Source organism: Homo sapiens, chromosome 13 (genome assembly GCF_000001405.40).
Source record: "Homo sapiens chromosome 13, GRCh38.p14 Primary Assembly".
In the NCBI taxonomy this organism is placed as follows: domain Eukaryota; kingdom Metazoa; phylum Chordata; class Mammalia; order Primates; family Hominidae; genus Homo; species Homo sapiens.
In genome coordinates, this window is record NC_000013.11 from 62319081 (window position 1) to 62337103 (window position 18023).

General features: G+C 33.2%; 2 long non-coding RNA genes and 1 pseudogene across 2 annotated transcripts; all 3 read left to right on the forward strand.

The window, feature by feature from the left end:
* Positions 1-2224: 2224 nt before the first annotated feature.
* On the forward strand, positions 2225-3318 carry LINC01074 (long intergenic non-protein coding RNA 1074). The gene is made up of 2 exons (NR_149075.1): positions 2225-2306; positions 2846-3318. It is a non-coding gene; the product is annotated as a long intergenic non-protein coding RNA 1074 (long non-coding RNA).
* Positions 3319-4576: 1258 nt separating this feature from the next.
* On the forward strand, positions 4577-9767 carry LINC00459 (long intergenic non-protein coding RNA 459). The gene is made up of 2 exons (NR_047038.1): positions 4577-4874; positions 9676-9767. It is a non-coding gene; the product is annotated as a long intergenic non-protein coding RNA 459 (long non-coding RNA).
* Positions 8804-9316, forward strand: RPL32P28 (ribosomal protein L32 pseudogene 28; annotated as a pseudogene).
* Positions 9768-18023: the final 8256 nt, after the last annotated feature.

Consider the following 18023-nt stretch of genomic DNA (forward strand, 5'->3'; position numbering starts at 1 on the left):
ATCTTTTAATTTTCTATTTTAAATAATGGCCCAATTCCCACTCATTTATTATCAACATGAAAAGATGATTAAAAATTAAAACTCTTGACATTCTCCAATTTTTATCACCTAGGACTGTCTTGAAGTATTTAAACAACAGAGAATGACCAAGATATTATTAGAGGTTGACATTTTGTAGATTTTGTATTTTGGGCTTGTTTGATCAATTTAGAATTTATCTTAAATTTTTAATGAAATTTTTTTTCTGTACCACTTGCTGTTTGCATTCATATGTACTTCTAAAGATATATTATCAATTTAGATTGTCATTTAAAAAACAAAACTAAAACTAAAACCCTCAAAGTCATGTGCCTATAACTGTTTATCATAATTCCATTTCAAATAAAAATGCTTGATGATAAAAATGAAAATTTAAATATCGAATAAAATATAACTATGTACTGAATTTGATGACACAAGGGGAAGTAAAGTAGAACATGGTTGACCATATGACTTTTATTTTATTTTAAAATATTTTTATTCCTAAACAAGGCCTTAATATAAGAATGTCCCCATCCTTCTTCTATCCTAATGATAGCCACCAATTTTTTATCTATCAGAATATTATTTTCTGTGCATGTTTAAATATACAGAAATGAATATTGACTTAGACATAAATGGTACGTCTTTTCTAATTTTTAAAGTGATATCAAAAATATTTTATACAGCCTCATAACATGCACGTCTTGTGATTTTTCAATAAATTTTACCTTCATTCTTTGTAAAAGGAAAGCTTTATTATTGTAAATGCTAGTAATTACATATGTTTTGTCCAGTGTGCAACATTTTCTTATCTAGTTTTTCATCACTGAGTAAGCATTGGATTTATACAAACTTAAAATTTTATAATCTCTATTACTACTTTTTAACATGGCAGGTTATGATATAGTTAAGAAACTTCAAATTATTTATTTTCATTAGAGGTCATCTTTTCTCAAGAATGATTCAATGCAGTGCTAATGATTAGAAAAATTGATTATATTAGTATCTGAATGTGTTATATTGTCTTTAAATAATTATTTACTAGGATACTAATCTACTTCTGAGACTTGTGCTAAGGTGTTTTTATCATTATGAACTGAAAACTGGTCAAATATAGAATATTACTTTATCCTACTTTAAATTTAAATATTAATTGTGAAGTGTTTCATCCATTTCTTGTGACTAAGTAGGTTTCTATTTCCTGTGTAGTCAGTAGATGGCAGGCTTGTATCACATACAGTCTGAATTTAGTGTGGCATACTTATTTGTTATGGTAACATGAATACTCACTGATAAGTGTTTTCGTTGTCTTTGTGATAATGAAATACAAGAAAATAGCTCATATTTTATTTCTAAAACCAAATAAAATTATTTGTTGAATGAGCTTAAGAGCTATATAACTTGAAATCATACCTGTTATTGTCCTAATGATTTTTTGGTTTACATTTTTTAAAAATCACAGTCAGACAAACACTAACATTGGCAATTACAATAGGATTTTACTGCAATTCTAAAACTTGAAACATAAATATTAAACAATTTTAGAAAAAAGTACATCATAAAAATGAATCCACACAGAGTATATATATTTTTCAAATTTAACATAAAATACATAAGAAACAGCTTCCTTGTGAAAAATACATAATATGAATGCTCAAAATTTTTGAAAGTCTGTGTGAAACCTGTATGTTGCTATTGTTAATTCATTCAACCTGACAGTGCATACACAAAGGGTTGGTTTGAGGGAAGGTGTTATTTGATGTCTATGTCATTCAATAACATCACTTGATATGATATAGTACATCACATGGCATGTTTCTTATCAGCATGACAAAAGTAATCTCTTCCGCCAACTGTAGCATGTCTGAAAGACAGCAAATTATATCTGCCAAGATTAAATGCCTCTATACTAACGCTTATTTAAAATAAAATTACTTCTCAAAAAATCTCATTGCATAGGTTATGTTACTGTGAAAGACGGTAAATTTAGTAACAACATCATGTCCTAAATGTAACTCAGGAAGTGGCAATATTCTGTATTTATTTTTTCTTTTCCAAACGAAATGAGCTACAAAGCTAGGTGGATGCCAGAGGACATGAGCACAGATAGACAGATTTTCTGTGGACAATATTACTGTGCTCTAATACATTCTTTTTGTAATTATTCCAGGTCAAGATAGTGGCCAAAGAGGAAGTTATAAAGCAGACTAGGAAATTCTCCTAAATATATCTCCAACAGAGTAAACAAGAGATTAGGAAACTTGTCCTTCATTCAATTACACCTGGTAAACTTTTTACATTTCCCATTCTATTTTTTGCCTGTGATGTCTAAGTTGAATTACCTTTGCACAGACTTTGAGGAAAAATTTCCCTGTGTATTGCAAACTGACCTAACAATTATTAGTACAGAGAAAAGCTGAAATGATTTCCACAAGGCTGTTGGATCTTTTTATTACCTCTTTTGCTTGTTTGTTTGCTTATTTTGTGTGCTCTCCTGAAATTCAAAGTACTTGCTGGAAAAGACTACATATATCCACTCTCAGCAGACAGGGACTCAGAATTCAGCAATCCTGGTGTAGTAATCATCTTTGCCCTCTATTCACACAATACACATGTATTATTACTATTGCTGTTACTGTTTTTTATGATGTTTGGCTCAAAATTCATTTTATGTTCACTTTTCTGAAAGCTAGAAAAGTTAATATTCTTCTTTTCCAGTGAAAATCTTTAGTGGCTTTTTCCTGCCTAGAATCTAAAATAACTACAAATTTTGCCAAGCTGGTTTACTCTTTCAATAACTAACGCTATTTTTCTGTGTCCCCAGGCAGGTGAATGGGAGTGGAGCAGTAAGAGATGCTGCTTCCAGTAGTTTTCTACCTCTCAATCCTTGCTATTCAAAGTATGGTCCACAGTCCAGCAGCTTTGGCATCACCTGGGAACTTGATGGAAATGCAGATAAGTTCAAATTCCCACTACTGATATACTGAATTAGAAACATCTGCCCTTCAAGAAGATCCACTGGTGATAATATGCATATTAAAGTTTGAGTAGCACCGCCATTCTATATCAGCTTGCAAAATGAAAGCAAGAAGAAACAAAACAAAGCATTAGCCAGTTTGGATTTTCTGAAGTGCACTAAATGTCAAACTCAAGAAAAGGTAGTAGAAAATAAATTTCTCTTCAACCAAGTCATTAGTATGGAATCATCTACTCTGTTTTGAGGCGACACCAGCCAATACCAGCCACATTTTCGGAATCATCATTTTCTGGTGAAATAAACTGACTTGCATAATTTAATAAATTTTGGTGAATAACAAGACTTACTCTCAGATACCAACATTTCCTAGCTTGCAAGACAGTAGTTATAGAAGGAAACTAATAGACATGGTTTAAAACACCTTCTAATGCAAAGTAGAAGATTTACAATGCTGCTTCATTGTCAGGTTCCAGTGTCCTCCTTTTATCCAACAAAATCTAAAGAGTTATCTCATTGGAATTTTCAGCTTCAGTGAAAATTCTGTGATGATCTCAAATGTTGCTGCATAAAATGTATAATTAATGGAGTGAAGTGGTTTGTAAAGAAACATTTTATTAGAACAAGTGAGGGTAAATGAACTAATAGAGTTCAATTCTATGCTTCAATTTCCAATATAATATGCAAATATCTACTCTGCAAAACCGTATAAAACGACTTTCTGAACTATTATTCTAGGTTTAATACAGTGATTAGACTGGGTCATCATTTCTGCATTGTCAGAAACTGTGCTATTTTGCAGTATCTAATTGTTGTTTTATTTCCTTTTTAATTATTTTATTCACTGTGTTATTATTTTGGCTTTAACATCAGACACATTCTTTGATATTAAAATTGCATTTGATTAGCTTTTAACTGTCTCAGACATATTAATACATGATGATGGGTTTTAAGTCAATGAATGTATTCTTCTATGTTATGGCCTATTTCATTGTTCTAATTCGAGTGTCAAAATTGCTATTTATTTGAGGACTGTCATTATCAAATATTTCAGAATGTGAGTTGCCATTATTCAAAGGAATAAGTCAACAGACATTTACATAACATGTAATAGTAAAACGAAATTATTCATATTATAACGTTTTATAATGTTTGGCTTAGAAGACTTGCTACAGATGTTATAGACAAACAAAAATTGTATGGTTAATGCAACAGGAACCTGGTTTCAGATAGGTGACATGACATTTTCAAAGTCTCACAGCAATTTTGATTGAGCTAAGCCTCAACCATTGGTCAATTTCTTTAGTCTTTTTTTTTTAACACTGAAATCAACCATGCTATTTCTAGCCCCCATTTTTTAAACTTGGATAATCAAAATGAGTTTAATAAAACATCGTCAACCAAATATCACATTATGCATAATAACACGTATCTTGAAGGTTATAGTAAATGGAAAGATGAATCTGGAAAGCTAAGAGAATTAGAGGTCATGGCTGGATGTAAAATCACCATGGAAACAGCTTTCATGGCCAATTTGTGGGGATATGTCAAAAGGCAGTAACCTGTGACTTATTTTTTTCCAAAGCCCTTTCTATGAAGGTTACAGGCTCTATATCTGCTTTCATGATGACATTTGTCTATGTTTTTGTAGGATTCTATTCTGACAAGCACAAAACCCTGCACCAAGTTGAACCTGTCCTTTGTGATGAGGCTGTTGAACAGAAGAGCAGCGTAGCAGTCTGTCTATTCTTGCTCCACATTCAGCTAAATGCCAACTCCGATCCCTTTGAGATGGTGAACAGGCTGAACCCAGGGATCGTGTCATCCCTCAGTATCCAGACTTCTTCAGAGAACCATGTGGTGAAACTTCTTGATTAAGGTCATGTTCTTAGTCTATAGTATCATTTTTTTTTTGTAAGCTAAAAGATATCTATGTGTTTCAGTATCTAAAAATCTATTTAAAAATAAATATGTAGATTTGAATAATCATTCCAGCTTATGTTTCCAAATTACAAAAATAAAAGAAATTATACAATTCAGATGTTTGTTTTGTATCATTATCTTATAGAGAGTAATTTTACATTGCAGACTTTGTGACAAACTTGGATCCTTTTTTGGCTTTATACAAATAAATATATCAAAGAAATTCTTATTTTTATTAGTGTAACATTACATTTTACTATAAAATAACTATTTTTATCCATATTTCATTTACTGAATAGAATAGTGAATTATGTTTAAAAACTTTAATCATTGCAAGCCATCATCTTTGGATGTTTTATGATCTTATAAGGAAACAAGCATGTATTAGTTCGTTCTCATCTGGCTATGAAGAAATACCCAAGACTGGGTAGTTTATAAAGGAAAGATGTTGAACTGACTCACAATTCCACATGGCTGGGGAGACCTCAGGAAACTTACAATCATGGCAGAAGGGGATGTAAGCACGTCCTTCTTCACAAGGCGGCAGAAGAGAAAAGTGCCAAGCCAAGGGGGAAAAGCCCATTATAAAACCATCGGATCTCATAAAACTCACTATCATGAGAACAGCATGGGGGGACTGCTCCCATGATCTAATCACCTCCCATGAGGTCCCTCCCCCAACACATTGGGATTACAATTCAAGATGAGATTTGAGTGAGGACAAAATCCAGGCCATATCAAAGCAAAAGTTTTATTTCTATATATTATTTATACATATAATATTTATTTATTTGGAAAATAATTCATATTATGTGAATTTTTCCTAAAGACTCTGGCATTCAGCTTTATAGATTTGGATAGAAAAACGTGTGTCCTTGGATGAGGACTCACATACCAAGACTTGATAGAATTTGCTTTTATGCAAACATACTGATAATGAATGATACACAATAAAGTAATATTGTGATGTGTTCCATGGGGTTGTTTCTTATTATTTAATAATAAGATTTAATTTAATAATTTAATAATAATAAATAATAAATAATTTAATAATAAATACTTAATAATTGATTTAATTAATAATTTAACAATATTATTACAAGTACTACTATCTAACTTTTTGGTTCTTAATTTAAGTCTTCATCTCCAGTTTGCCAATAGATTGACTTAGTCTAGAAGAAAATTTTAAATCATGTTGACTAGACAATCCAGAGATTTTCTAGATTTTTGGAAATTCTGGACTTTCTGTCCCACCATGACAGTTATTTTTCTATTAAATCTAACAAGTAATTGTCTAGTGAGATGTTAAATTATTTCTATTCTTGATTTCAATCTATCTTTGCCTAAATGTGGAAGGTGGTACAAAATACTCAATACTTTTCACCCACAATTTATAGTTTAAAATATTTTCAGTCTTTAGTGCTGCTTATATTTCAATTAACATTATGGCTAAGTATTACAGTGTAGTACAAGGATGAAAATTGGGAAACTCTGGAGAAAGGGAAGCTCTGTCCCAGTACTGCACATGCATTTTTTAATATTCCCCCCAAACACTAGCTTCAACTTTAACAGTTTCCAATTTCAAAAAAAATTGAAACCACTTAGAATTTGAAAACATTGATCTTTTTTTAAAAAAAAATTAAATGATAATCCAGTTCATAAGTTAAGTCTAATCTACTTTTCAGACTGAAAATTATTTTATAGATATCAAGATAAATTAGTATTATTTTTCCAGGATGCATATCCCCAAGAAATCCAAAGCAAATATTCTTTTTAAAAAAGGACAACTTTTAAAAACTTTAGGTTCAAGGCTGCATGTGCAGGTTTGTTATACAGGTAAATGGGGGTTTGGCGTAGAGATTATTATGCCACCCAGGTATGCCACCCATCGCATAGTAGATTTTCCATCCTTCTCCTCCTTCCCTCCACCATCATATAGGCCTCAGTGTCTGTTGTTCCCTTCTTTGTGTCCATATATACTCAAGAGAACATTCTATTTTTTACTGGAAAAAAGAATTATACTTTGGCTTAAAATAGTCTAGTATTCATAAGGGAGAAGTAGCAAACACAAAGTTCTAATATATCAATGGAAAATTCTGTTGCATTTGAAATAGATATTTAAACCTTGATATAATCAAATAAAGAGGAGATATTAGCCAGCAGCTAATAATGAAATTGCCTGATAAAGCATAAAGTTGCCTCACTGAATTATTGTGGGTTTGAAAGGTTTGTGACAATAACTGCTTCACACATTTAATAAGACCCATTAAAGAACATTATATGTTTTTTAAAAGGGTCATCAATGAGGTCATAGTAGTTTATTGTTGCAGTTTATTTAATATTTATTAACTACACAGCCATCTGAATATTCATTTTGAAAATTTTAATGTGCATATACAAAGTCTTTACCATAATTTAAAGTTTTTGAATGTGCTATATTTTATAAATTTGTCTTTAAAACCATACACTATTTTTCCAAAGATTTTCTTTTAATTAAATTTTATAAAAGTAACTAAGTAGCTGCTTTTTTTTTCTTTTCTTTTCTTTTCTTTTTTGAGATGGAGTCTCACTCTGTCACCCAGGCTGGAGTGCAGTGGTGCAGTCTTGGCTCATTGCAACCTCTGCCTCCTGGGTCCAAGCAGTTCTCGAGCCCAGCCTCTGAGTAGCTGGGATTACAGGTGCGTGCCCCCATGTCTGGCTAATTTTTGTATTTTTAGTAGAGATGGGGTTTTGCTATGTTGACCAGTCTGGTCTTGAACACCTGACATAAAGTGATCCACCTGCCTGAGCTTCCCAAAGTGCTGGGATGACAGGTGTGAGCCACTGTGCCCAGCCCAAAAGTAACCTCTTTATAAATGAAAAGTTACACAAATATATTGAGTTGACAGAATAGTCCCAAATAAGGAAACTACTTCAAGTAACTTTAAAATACAATAATTTTACTTGGAACTTTGGTGTGATTACCCAAAAAATGGGAGCAGGACTGTCTAAACTAATCTCAGTATCACATTGTTAGTAGTGTTGTGGAATTACTTTTCTGAGCTAGCAAATAAGTAATAATGTTGGAGTCTATTTAGTGTGAAAAAAAAATACTGATTACACATATGGTTCTGAATTTAAATTTTATTTTACACTTGAACTCTTAACATATTTTAAAACATAATACATATTTCTAGCATTAAAGAGTTCTAGAAACATTGACCAACCCAAAAGCAATAAGTACTACTACAGTCCATATTGTAGTATTTAAATATCATTACTCACTAAAGAAACCAAGAATTTTTAGATTTTAGATATGAGCATGAAGTGTACAAAACTGTCCTAGAACGTCCTTTCAAATCAAAAATAAGATGTATAGTAGTTTACAAGGGTCATGTCAAAAGGATGTAGGAGCCAAATTGAATAGCTTATCACAGGCCAAAGTTGAAAACGTTTAAACATAAATTTGGAGAAAAAGTAATGGTTTCAAACACATAAAATGTTTAAATCCATGAAGTCATACTAGCACTCCAAAACACACATATAAGGATAAAGAAAATGTGGTACATGTACAACATGGAATATTATGCAGCCATGAAAAATAGCAAGATCATGTCCTCTGCAAGGACATGGATGGAGCTGGAGGCCTTATCCTTAGCACACTAAGAAAAGAACAGAAAACCAAATACTGCACGTTGTCACGTATAAGTGGGAGCTAATGATGAGAGCATATGGACAAAGGGAGGGGAACAACACACACTGGGGCACATAGGAGGGTGGAGAGCAGGAGGAGAGACAGGATAAGGAAAAATAACTAATGGGTACTAGGCTTAATACCTGGGTGATGAAATAATCTTTACAACAAACCCCCACGATTCAAGTCTACCTATGTATCAAACCTCCACATGTACCCCTGAGCTTCAAATAAATGTTAAAAAAAAAAAAAAGAAAAGAAAAAAGAAAATCTCAGCACTGCCTAGAGAGGAGCAGCCATCTCCTAATTGGCACCATGGCTGCACTCAGACCCTGCATGAAGCACAAAATCGTCAAAAAGAGAGGACCAAGAAGTCCATCTGGCGCCAGTTAGACGATATGTCAAAAATAAGCATAACTGGTGAAAACCCAGAAGTATTGACAACAGGGTTTGTAGAAGGTTCAAGGGCTGGATCTAGATGCCCTACATATGGGAGCAACAAAAAACAAAACACATGCTGCCCAGTAGCTTCCAGAATTTCCTGGTCCACAAAGTCAAGGAGCTGGAAATGCAGCTGATGTGCAACAAATCTTACTCTGCTGAGATTGCTTACAATGTTTCCTCCAAGAACCACAAAGCCATCACAGAAAGAGCAGCCCAGAGCACAGCTGGCCATCAGAGCCACCAATCCCAATGCCAGGCTGTGCAGAGAAAAAAATCAATAGACACCTCATGTGCACATTTTATTTTCATTTAAATAAAACCATCAAAACAGCAAAAAAAAAAAAAAAAAATACCCACAACAAACAAAAAACACCTCGTAGGGTAATTTCATGAAACCAATTCTCACTGTTTTGGAAAATAGTATATAAAATTAAAATTACTATTCCTTTAGAGTTACCAACTAATGATTAACAACATTTCTTCATTAATAATATGAATTATATTATTAATGAATTAATGAATTATTAATGAATTAATATCAATTAAAAAATGAAGAAGGAATAATAAAATATTACCATTATTCAAGCTTTTAAAAATAATGGGAATAAGCTGGAATCAACTTTTGTTTTTCTTTCTCTAGGTCGCAAAAGAAGAGACAACTATACATTTTGTGATGCTGAAGGGAAATGTACAAGAGCACTACTGAAGAAGTCCAGCCAAAAAAAAAAAAAAAAAGCCCAGTAGTATTCTTATCAAGCCTGTATATCCAGTTTATAGGAAATATAAGAGACAGAGACACATGTTAAATGGCAACAGTAGAATGTAATACACAAAATCCAGACTTGAAAATGTTATAAAATATGCAAAAAAGATTTCTTAAGAATAATATTAGAAGAAAAATGAGTTTGTGGGAGAACTTATAGAGTCTTTAAAAAATATATTAATTACAGTGTATGAATTCACTTTGTTTCATGATTCAAACAACAAGCTGGTTAAAAGTTTAAGAGAAAATTCCATCATGATATTGACGTGAGAATTAAAGTGTTTGTTAAAAAATGAAATATACTTGGGAGGCTGAGTCCAAGAATCCCTTTAACCTGGGAGGTGGAGGTTGCAGTGGGCCGAAATTGCACCATTGTATTCCAGCCAAGGCAACAGTGTGAGACTCTGTCAAAAAAAAAAAAAGAAAGAAATATGTGGATTTTTATAAAAAGGCATCTTTTGATAAAATGAAAACATTAGAGTGTGAATTGGGTGTTTGATGATGGATGTTTTATATTATGAGATTATTGTTAAATTTATGTGTTATAACAGCATGATTATATTAAAAACATTGCATTTATCAGAAATGGATACTTAAGTATTTATACGTGGAATGAAAATATATTTACTGTTTAATTTAAAATAACCCAGTAAAACAGAAAGGGTTAGTTAAAATTATCCAATTTTAAATTGAATTATTTAAAATAACCCAAAAAAGTTAAAAAGGAATACAGAGAAAATAAAGGAAAAAATAAGATAGTGTAGATGATATAAATAAAACAAAGACAAAATATTAGTTGCTTTTGAAGCTGGGTGAAGTGCATATGGGAAGTTCTTTTTATTATACTGTTATATTTGAGATGATCTATACTAAAAAGTAAAACACCAACAAAACAACCTGTTCAAGACACAGTTTCACAGATCACGATTTAATTGATCTGAGATGGAACCCAGCCAACTATTAGGGTTTTTTTTTGTATTGTATTGTTTTGTTTTGTTTTGTTTTGTTTGGACGGAGTCTCGCTCTGTCGCGCAGGCTGGAGTGCAGTGACGCCATCTGGGCTCACTGCAAGCTCCGCCTCCCGGGTTCACGCCACTCTCCTGCCTCAGCCTCCCGAGTAGCTGAGACTACCGGCGCCCGCCACGATGCCCGGCTAATTTTTTGTATTTTTAGTAGAGACGGGGTTTCACCTTGTTAGCCAGGATGGTGTCCCTGTCCTGACCTCGTGATCTGCCCGCCTTGGCCTCCCAAAGTGCTGGGATTACGGGCTTGAGCCACTGCGCCCGGCCAACTATTAGTATTTTTTATACTTTGGGCTTCTAATCTGTATCCAGTGTCGAGAATAACTCAGGATAAAATAGATACAAGCAAGGCTCTAGTTATGTTTCATTTTTTTTAATTAAAAAATTTAATTCAAGCTATGCAGTTGTAAGGCTAGTACAGAGACATCTCATGTACCCTTTACTCCGTTTACCTCAGTTGTAATATGTTGCAAAACTATAGTATAATGTCACAACCAGGATATTAACATTGATACAGTCAAGACAATTTTTTTCATTTTTTTATTTTTAATTTTTGTGTGTACATAGTAGGTGTATATATTTCTGGGGTACATGAGATTTTTTGATACAGGCATGCAATGCGAAATACCATATTGTGGAGAATGCGGTATCTATCTATTCAAGTATTTATCCTTTGTGTTACAAAAATTCCAATTACACTTCTTTATTCTTAGTTATTTTAAAATGTACAGTTAAGTTATTATTCACTATAGTTAACTCTGTTGTGCAATCAAATAGTAGGTCTCATTCATTCTCCTTTTTTTTTCTTGTACCCATTTAACACACAACATTTTTATCACCCTAAGTATTCCTCATGCTGCATATTTATAACCACCCACTCATCTTTATCCTTAAGCCCTGGCAACCACTAATCTGTTCTCAGTTTCTATAATGTAGTCATTTAAAAATATTATATAAATTGAATAATATACACCACGGTAAGTTTTTCAGAATGAGGCTTTTACTTAGCACAACACTCTGAATAATTGTCCAGGTGGATTGGTCTTTTTTCTCTTTCAGCACTTGAAAACATGTTGTGCTACTTCCTTCTAGCCTTTACGGTTTCTAATGAGAAATCTGCTGCTATTCAAATTGTTCTTTTTTCCCATAGTAAGGTATCTTTTCTGTCCTGTGCACCCCCACCCACCTCCCTGGCCTGATTTCAAGATTTCTTTCTTGGTCCTTAGTTTTCAAAAGTTTGACTATAATGTGACTTTCTTTGAGTTACTCTTTGGCATTTGCACAAGTTTTTAAATCTATAGGTTTAGGTGTTTTAGAAAAGTTTATCCATTATTTCCTTGAGCATTTTTTAAACGTTATCCTCTTTCTGCTCTCCTAGACCTCCAATGACATGAATGATCAATTTTTTGTTTTGGTCCTAGAGACCCTTAAAGCTCTGTTCATTTATTCTGGTCTATTTTTCTCTCTTTTGTTCAGATTCAGTAATTTTAAATATTTTGTCTTCTAGTTATCTGATCTTTCCATTCTCTTCATTCTGTTCTTGAGCCCATTTGTTCAGTTTTAAATTTTAGTTATTATTTCAGTTCTAAAATTTCCCCTTAGCTCTACATTATTTCCTCTATTTCTGAGACTTTCTATTGTTATTTCTATTGTTACTTTTACAGACGTTTCTCTTGTTACTTTCTACATTTTTATTGTTACTTTCTATTATCATTTTTATTATTACTTTCTATTGTTACTTTCTCTATATAATAAAGAGTCTGACTGCGTGTTATGATGTTTGACTGCTGACAACTTTGAAAGCCTCAATTTTTTAAAGTCTCACTTCTTCTTTCCCTTCCTCCTCACATTTGGGCAATTTAATTTAATTCAATTTAATAGGAAGGCTGTATGTTCCCTTCTTGGGGACTAGCAAGATACTTAAAGCACAAAAGCTCTGCCCTCATGTGGGAACTTTCACCTTGATTCCACCTTTGAGTTAATAAAAACCCAAGCCAGTCACCTTGGAGGCAGTGAGGGGGAAAGTTTCCAGGATGCTTGAGTTAAAGGAAAGGCTATAGGTAAGGTAAGTAAAATTATGGCATCTTATATGATATGTTCAGGAAGCATATTTGGCATTCTATAGTTGGAATTACAGATGGGAAGAGAATAGGAAAGTTGGAAGTTTTTGGCCAAGTTTCATCTATTATGGGCAGATTCTGCAGTAATTTTGTGTTGGCTTTCTGGACTGGTTGCTGTAGAGGTTGTAGGACAAAGTGTTATATATGGTTTGGCCACTGTCCCTTTGTGTATCCAGACTCTCAAATCTAGTTTAATATAACTTAGACAAGTATGGTACTCAGGTATCTTTCCTTGAAAATGTACTTAAATATACCCTCTGACTATTAAAAAGGTATTCAAATAATGAATTTAAGAAAAGATAGGCCAGGCGCAGTGGCTCACGCCTGTAATCCCAGCACTTTGGGAGGCCAAGGCAGGCGGATCACGAGGTCAGGAGCTAGAGACCATCCTGGCTAACACGGTGAAATCCCGTCTCTACTAAAAATACAAAAAATTAGCTGGGCATGGTGGCGGGCGCCTGTAATCCCAGCTACTTGGGAGGCTGAGGCAGGAGAATGGCATGAACCCGGGAGGCAGAGCTTGCAGTGAGCCGAGATCGTGCCACTGCACTCCAGCCTGGGCAACAGAGCAAGACTCCGTCTCAAAAAAAAAAAAAAAAAAAAAAAAGAAAAGCTAAGCTATGATATAATAGGAATGGTAATATACATTGAAACTAGTCAAATATGGAATTGTATAAATTATTCTCCAAACTTGGATAGAAAAAATAAAGTGAAATTAACATTGAAAGAGACTGTGCATTATAAAATGTTAAGAATAACTATGTCTAAAATTTTATATTTCATATATATATATATACAGAAACCAGGAAATGTGGGAAAAGAAGAGAAAGTAAATATATGCTAAATATTTCATTTTATTTTGGAGAAGTTAAAATATATTTGTTCATTTCTAATGTTGAAAATTAAAGAAATATTCTGCAATTAAAAACTTTACGCGAGTAGATTAAAAACTCAATACATCAATAAATTGGGGGAAAAATAAGACCATATTTCCACACAACACACCCACAAACCAAAAACAACTTATCTTTCAAAAATATTTAAAGATAGGAATAAAAAGAAACATTGATTTAAAAAAGGTCAATTACATCAGTTAATATAAGAAAACACTTCTAATTAAAAATTAAGACTTTATTTGCTTTATTTGATATCTAAGAGTATGTTTTTTAAAGTAAACTTCTGTTAAAGGAAAATTTCAAAGAAATTAAAATCATTTCTCTCATACAAATATGAAGCGTATATGTGTTAAAATTTTTATTTAACTCATTATTAATGAGAGAATCAGTAAGATGTCACGACCTGTTCAAAAGAAAATCTTAAAACAGACATTTATAGATAAGGAATATTTTTATGCATTTAATTTCAAAAAACTCCTGCTGCTTCCACAGTGAGTGAAGGGAGTCAACTGAATCTTCAACAGAATTTATTTGCACATTTATAGAAAATAATTATTTTTCAATTCTATCAGTTATTTACAATTTAAGGCGTTGTAAAATATTTCAATGGCAATGAAAAAGCGTAATCTCCACAGGATCAGATTGGATAACTCCTAGAGGGATTTGTTCTTAAAAATGCATACGTGCTCGGGCGCGGTGGTTCATGCCTGTAATCCCATCACTTTCTACTCAGGAGGCTGAGGCAGGAGAATCGCGTGAGTCCCGGGGGCGGAGTTTGCCGTGAGCGGAAATCCAGTGAGACTCCGTCCGGGATGGGGAAGCGTATGTTTCCCTAGAAGCAGAATTAGTTTTCTACACTGCTGAGAAACTCATAAAAAATAAAAATAATAGTATTTATTTAACATTACTCTGTGCAGCTACTCAAGATGATGATTATGTATTAGTACACTGATCCTCAGAGTAACTATTTTTGGGTGGAGGGCGGTGGGAGAGAGGAGCTAACATTTTAGTATATTTCTAAGCATATTGAGCCTAATATCTAAAAAGTATAAGTTAATGGTAAGAAATTCAGAACTAGAGCTTTAGAGTGAGATGTGATCTACTGATATAAATTTTGGAGTAAACTAGTTTTTAGTGATTTCTTTATTTCGGAAATTTTGCTTAGAACATGTTTCTTTGGTTTCACTATGTGGGCTGTCTCAATGACTGGCCGCAGCGCTAGGGCCTTGGGAAGCCTCCCACTGGAAATCATGTTGCTGAGGTTTATACTATACATCTAAGTATTGACTATCTTATCTTCCTTATGCACTTGACGTACAAAAAAGAGCACTTAGGCAGGGAACTAAATATGCTATCCTCTGTTCTCATAACCACCTACACATTTTGATGGTTGTTTTTCTTACTTGCCATTTTCAGAAATTCCTTTTTGTCAACTATGGTCAAGAGTGACTAAACTCATCTTGTTCTATGGCAGTACTTAATATTCTTAGATCCTATTTGGCTTAACACACAAAGATTACACTTGACAATGATGAACTTTACCTGAGTTCAGTGTCCCCAGTAAACAGTGAAGGTTAATCCCACCCCCAAACTTTTATTTTCTAAAGTTTGTCCCCAACTTTTTGTGCTGTGGGGAAATGATTTGCTGCAAGGAATCACCCTTGGCCTTACATCTCACATAAGATTCACAGGTGACTTCCTTGACATAGATCCTCAAAATTCCCATTTTTGATCTCATAAATTATGAACTCAGCTGTTCTGTCTCCACCCTGAAACTAGGTAGACATTGAGAAAATGAATAACAAATAGACCATGGTCAGACTCCATACAAAATGGAATATCTGATCAACAATCTGTATACAACTAGCCTAGAAAGCCAATATACCACTTATAGTAACTAGTCCAGGAAGACAATTTTAATCTATAAATCAGGTTTGCAGGAAGTCAGACTCTCTCTAGCACCCAGTCAAGAATCTAAACAAAAACCCTCATAACAATTAGTCCCACATAGCCAGGACTTCATTAGTAATTGACAGATTCCCTAACTATTGCCCCCACTTCCAACTTGGGACCAAACAAGGGATAGTCAAATATATACCCCTAACCAATCACATAGGATGCCCCACTTCTAATTAGCCTTTCTGCACCTTCCCCATGCCAACAGCCTCCAGTCATGTCCTACCTGAAGCCCTCCCTCTTTTCCATCATAAAGCTTTCCCACTACCCTATCTGCCTTTGAGTCTCTGCCAAAGGCAAATGATGGTTGGTAGCTCACTCACTTGCTAAAGCAATTTTTGAATAAATATCTTTCCTTTATTCTTATTTAAGTGGTCTTTGTTTATGGCCACAACAAAGAGATAAACATTTATTGATTCAGATTCTTCCAATTTACAAAAACCGTCTCAACTGTAAAATCACCCCATCTATAACTTGCTACTCCTTTCTCTAAAAGTAAAGCAAAACCACCATACTGATACACGCTGATATTTTGGGCAGCTGAGCATCTGGGGTGCTCTTCTTATTGCAATAGCTTGAATAAAATAATTTTCTACTTTCTCATGAACAGTATATTCTTTCTGTAACCTAAATTCATATTTGCATAATGAATTGGAAAACATCGCTACTTAAAAAAAATCATGCCAACTTTATTTAAATGTTTAAACTCACAAAGGAGGGGAGGAAAGAATAAAGAAAGGAAAGTAAGTAGGAAGGAGAAAAAGGAGCCAGGAGGGAGGGAAGAAACTGGGAGAAAATGGCAGGGAAATGATATTCAATTCTCTAAAACAAGGAGTTCATACGTGTCTAAACCAAAGATAGAAAAGAACATTGAATGTATAATACCAGTGATATACTCTGTGAGAATTCTGCCTTGCTCCAAGTAGAATTTTCTCTGTATTTAAAGAACGTACGAGCAATAGCTTCTGTTTTCATTTTATTTTGGGGGCACAAATTAAAGTTGAGTATTTTCTTCATGAAGGTATCAATTCAGGTTAGAATTCAGAATAGGTGGGTAGTTAATTCTAAGATTTTTGTACCAATGTATTAGTCATTTCCCAAGTGTAGAAGAAAAAATAATTGAGGCTGTCATTGCCTACATTTACTACTGATTTATTCAATTTACTCAATAAACCATTTCTTAAGCAACCACTATGTGTCAGGCAATGTACTTGGAGCTAGAAATTCAAGATGAATAAGGTATAGTTATGTCTGTTCCCAAGAAACTCACACTTCAGTTCTGGAGATAGACTTGGAAAAAGGTAACTAAAAATACAGTGTACATTTCATTGTTTCTTATTTTAGAGTATTTTATGCCTTTTGACATTACTTTCTTTTTCTGTTGAAAACACCTCTTTATTTTATCATTTTTATGAAGTTAAAATTAGTACTTATCTCTACATATAGAACTACCAACTCATATTTCAAAAGGATCACCAAAAGGGAAACATTTTATACTAAAGAGAAAATTCCTTTTATAAAGTTGGAGATTGTGGTTCAAGTATTTATAAATTAATTAGGATTACCATTCAGACACAAAATTATCTTTTCAAAATTTGTAATATTCTCTCAACAATAACACTGGCATACAATTCTCAAGTACATTAGTATTTCTTGTGTTTATAACACTAACCTCCCTGCTAATAGTCTTGACTTTTAGAGATTTGTTTTGTTTAGGGTTGATGCAATTATTGTTTTTTTTTAAAGATGCTGTTTTTATCTGTCTGAGTTCATATTAAATTTTCAACTACATTTTTCAAGACTCTGTTATCACCAATAGTAGCTTCTTTTACTGCTGAATGATTATAATCAGCTGATCACTTAAACTCTGTGTCACTTGCTCTGCAATGTTTCATCTCTTTAACAAAATGCATCGTTTTAAGCAAGATTTATAAATAAATAACATGTGCTAGTTATCAACAACAATGAAATTCTTAAGTAGTGTGTTTGATAAATAGGCCTTGATTATGAGAAACACAATCTAATTTTCTGCAGCCTACTGAGAAAATGATTATTAGATGTGGTGAAAATCTCTACTAAGCACTCAGAGAAATGAAAATCTATATTCCAGCAGTGAATACATTCCATTTAATATTTCCTTCCCCCTTCCTCCCCTCTATTTTCCTTAATCAAAAGGAAAAACACTTTTAAAAGTCATCAACAGTTTCTGTGAAACTTTCTAAGAAAAGTTT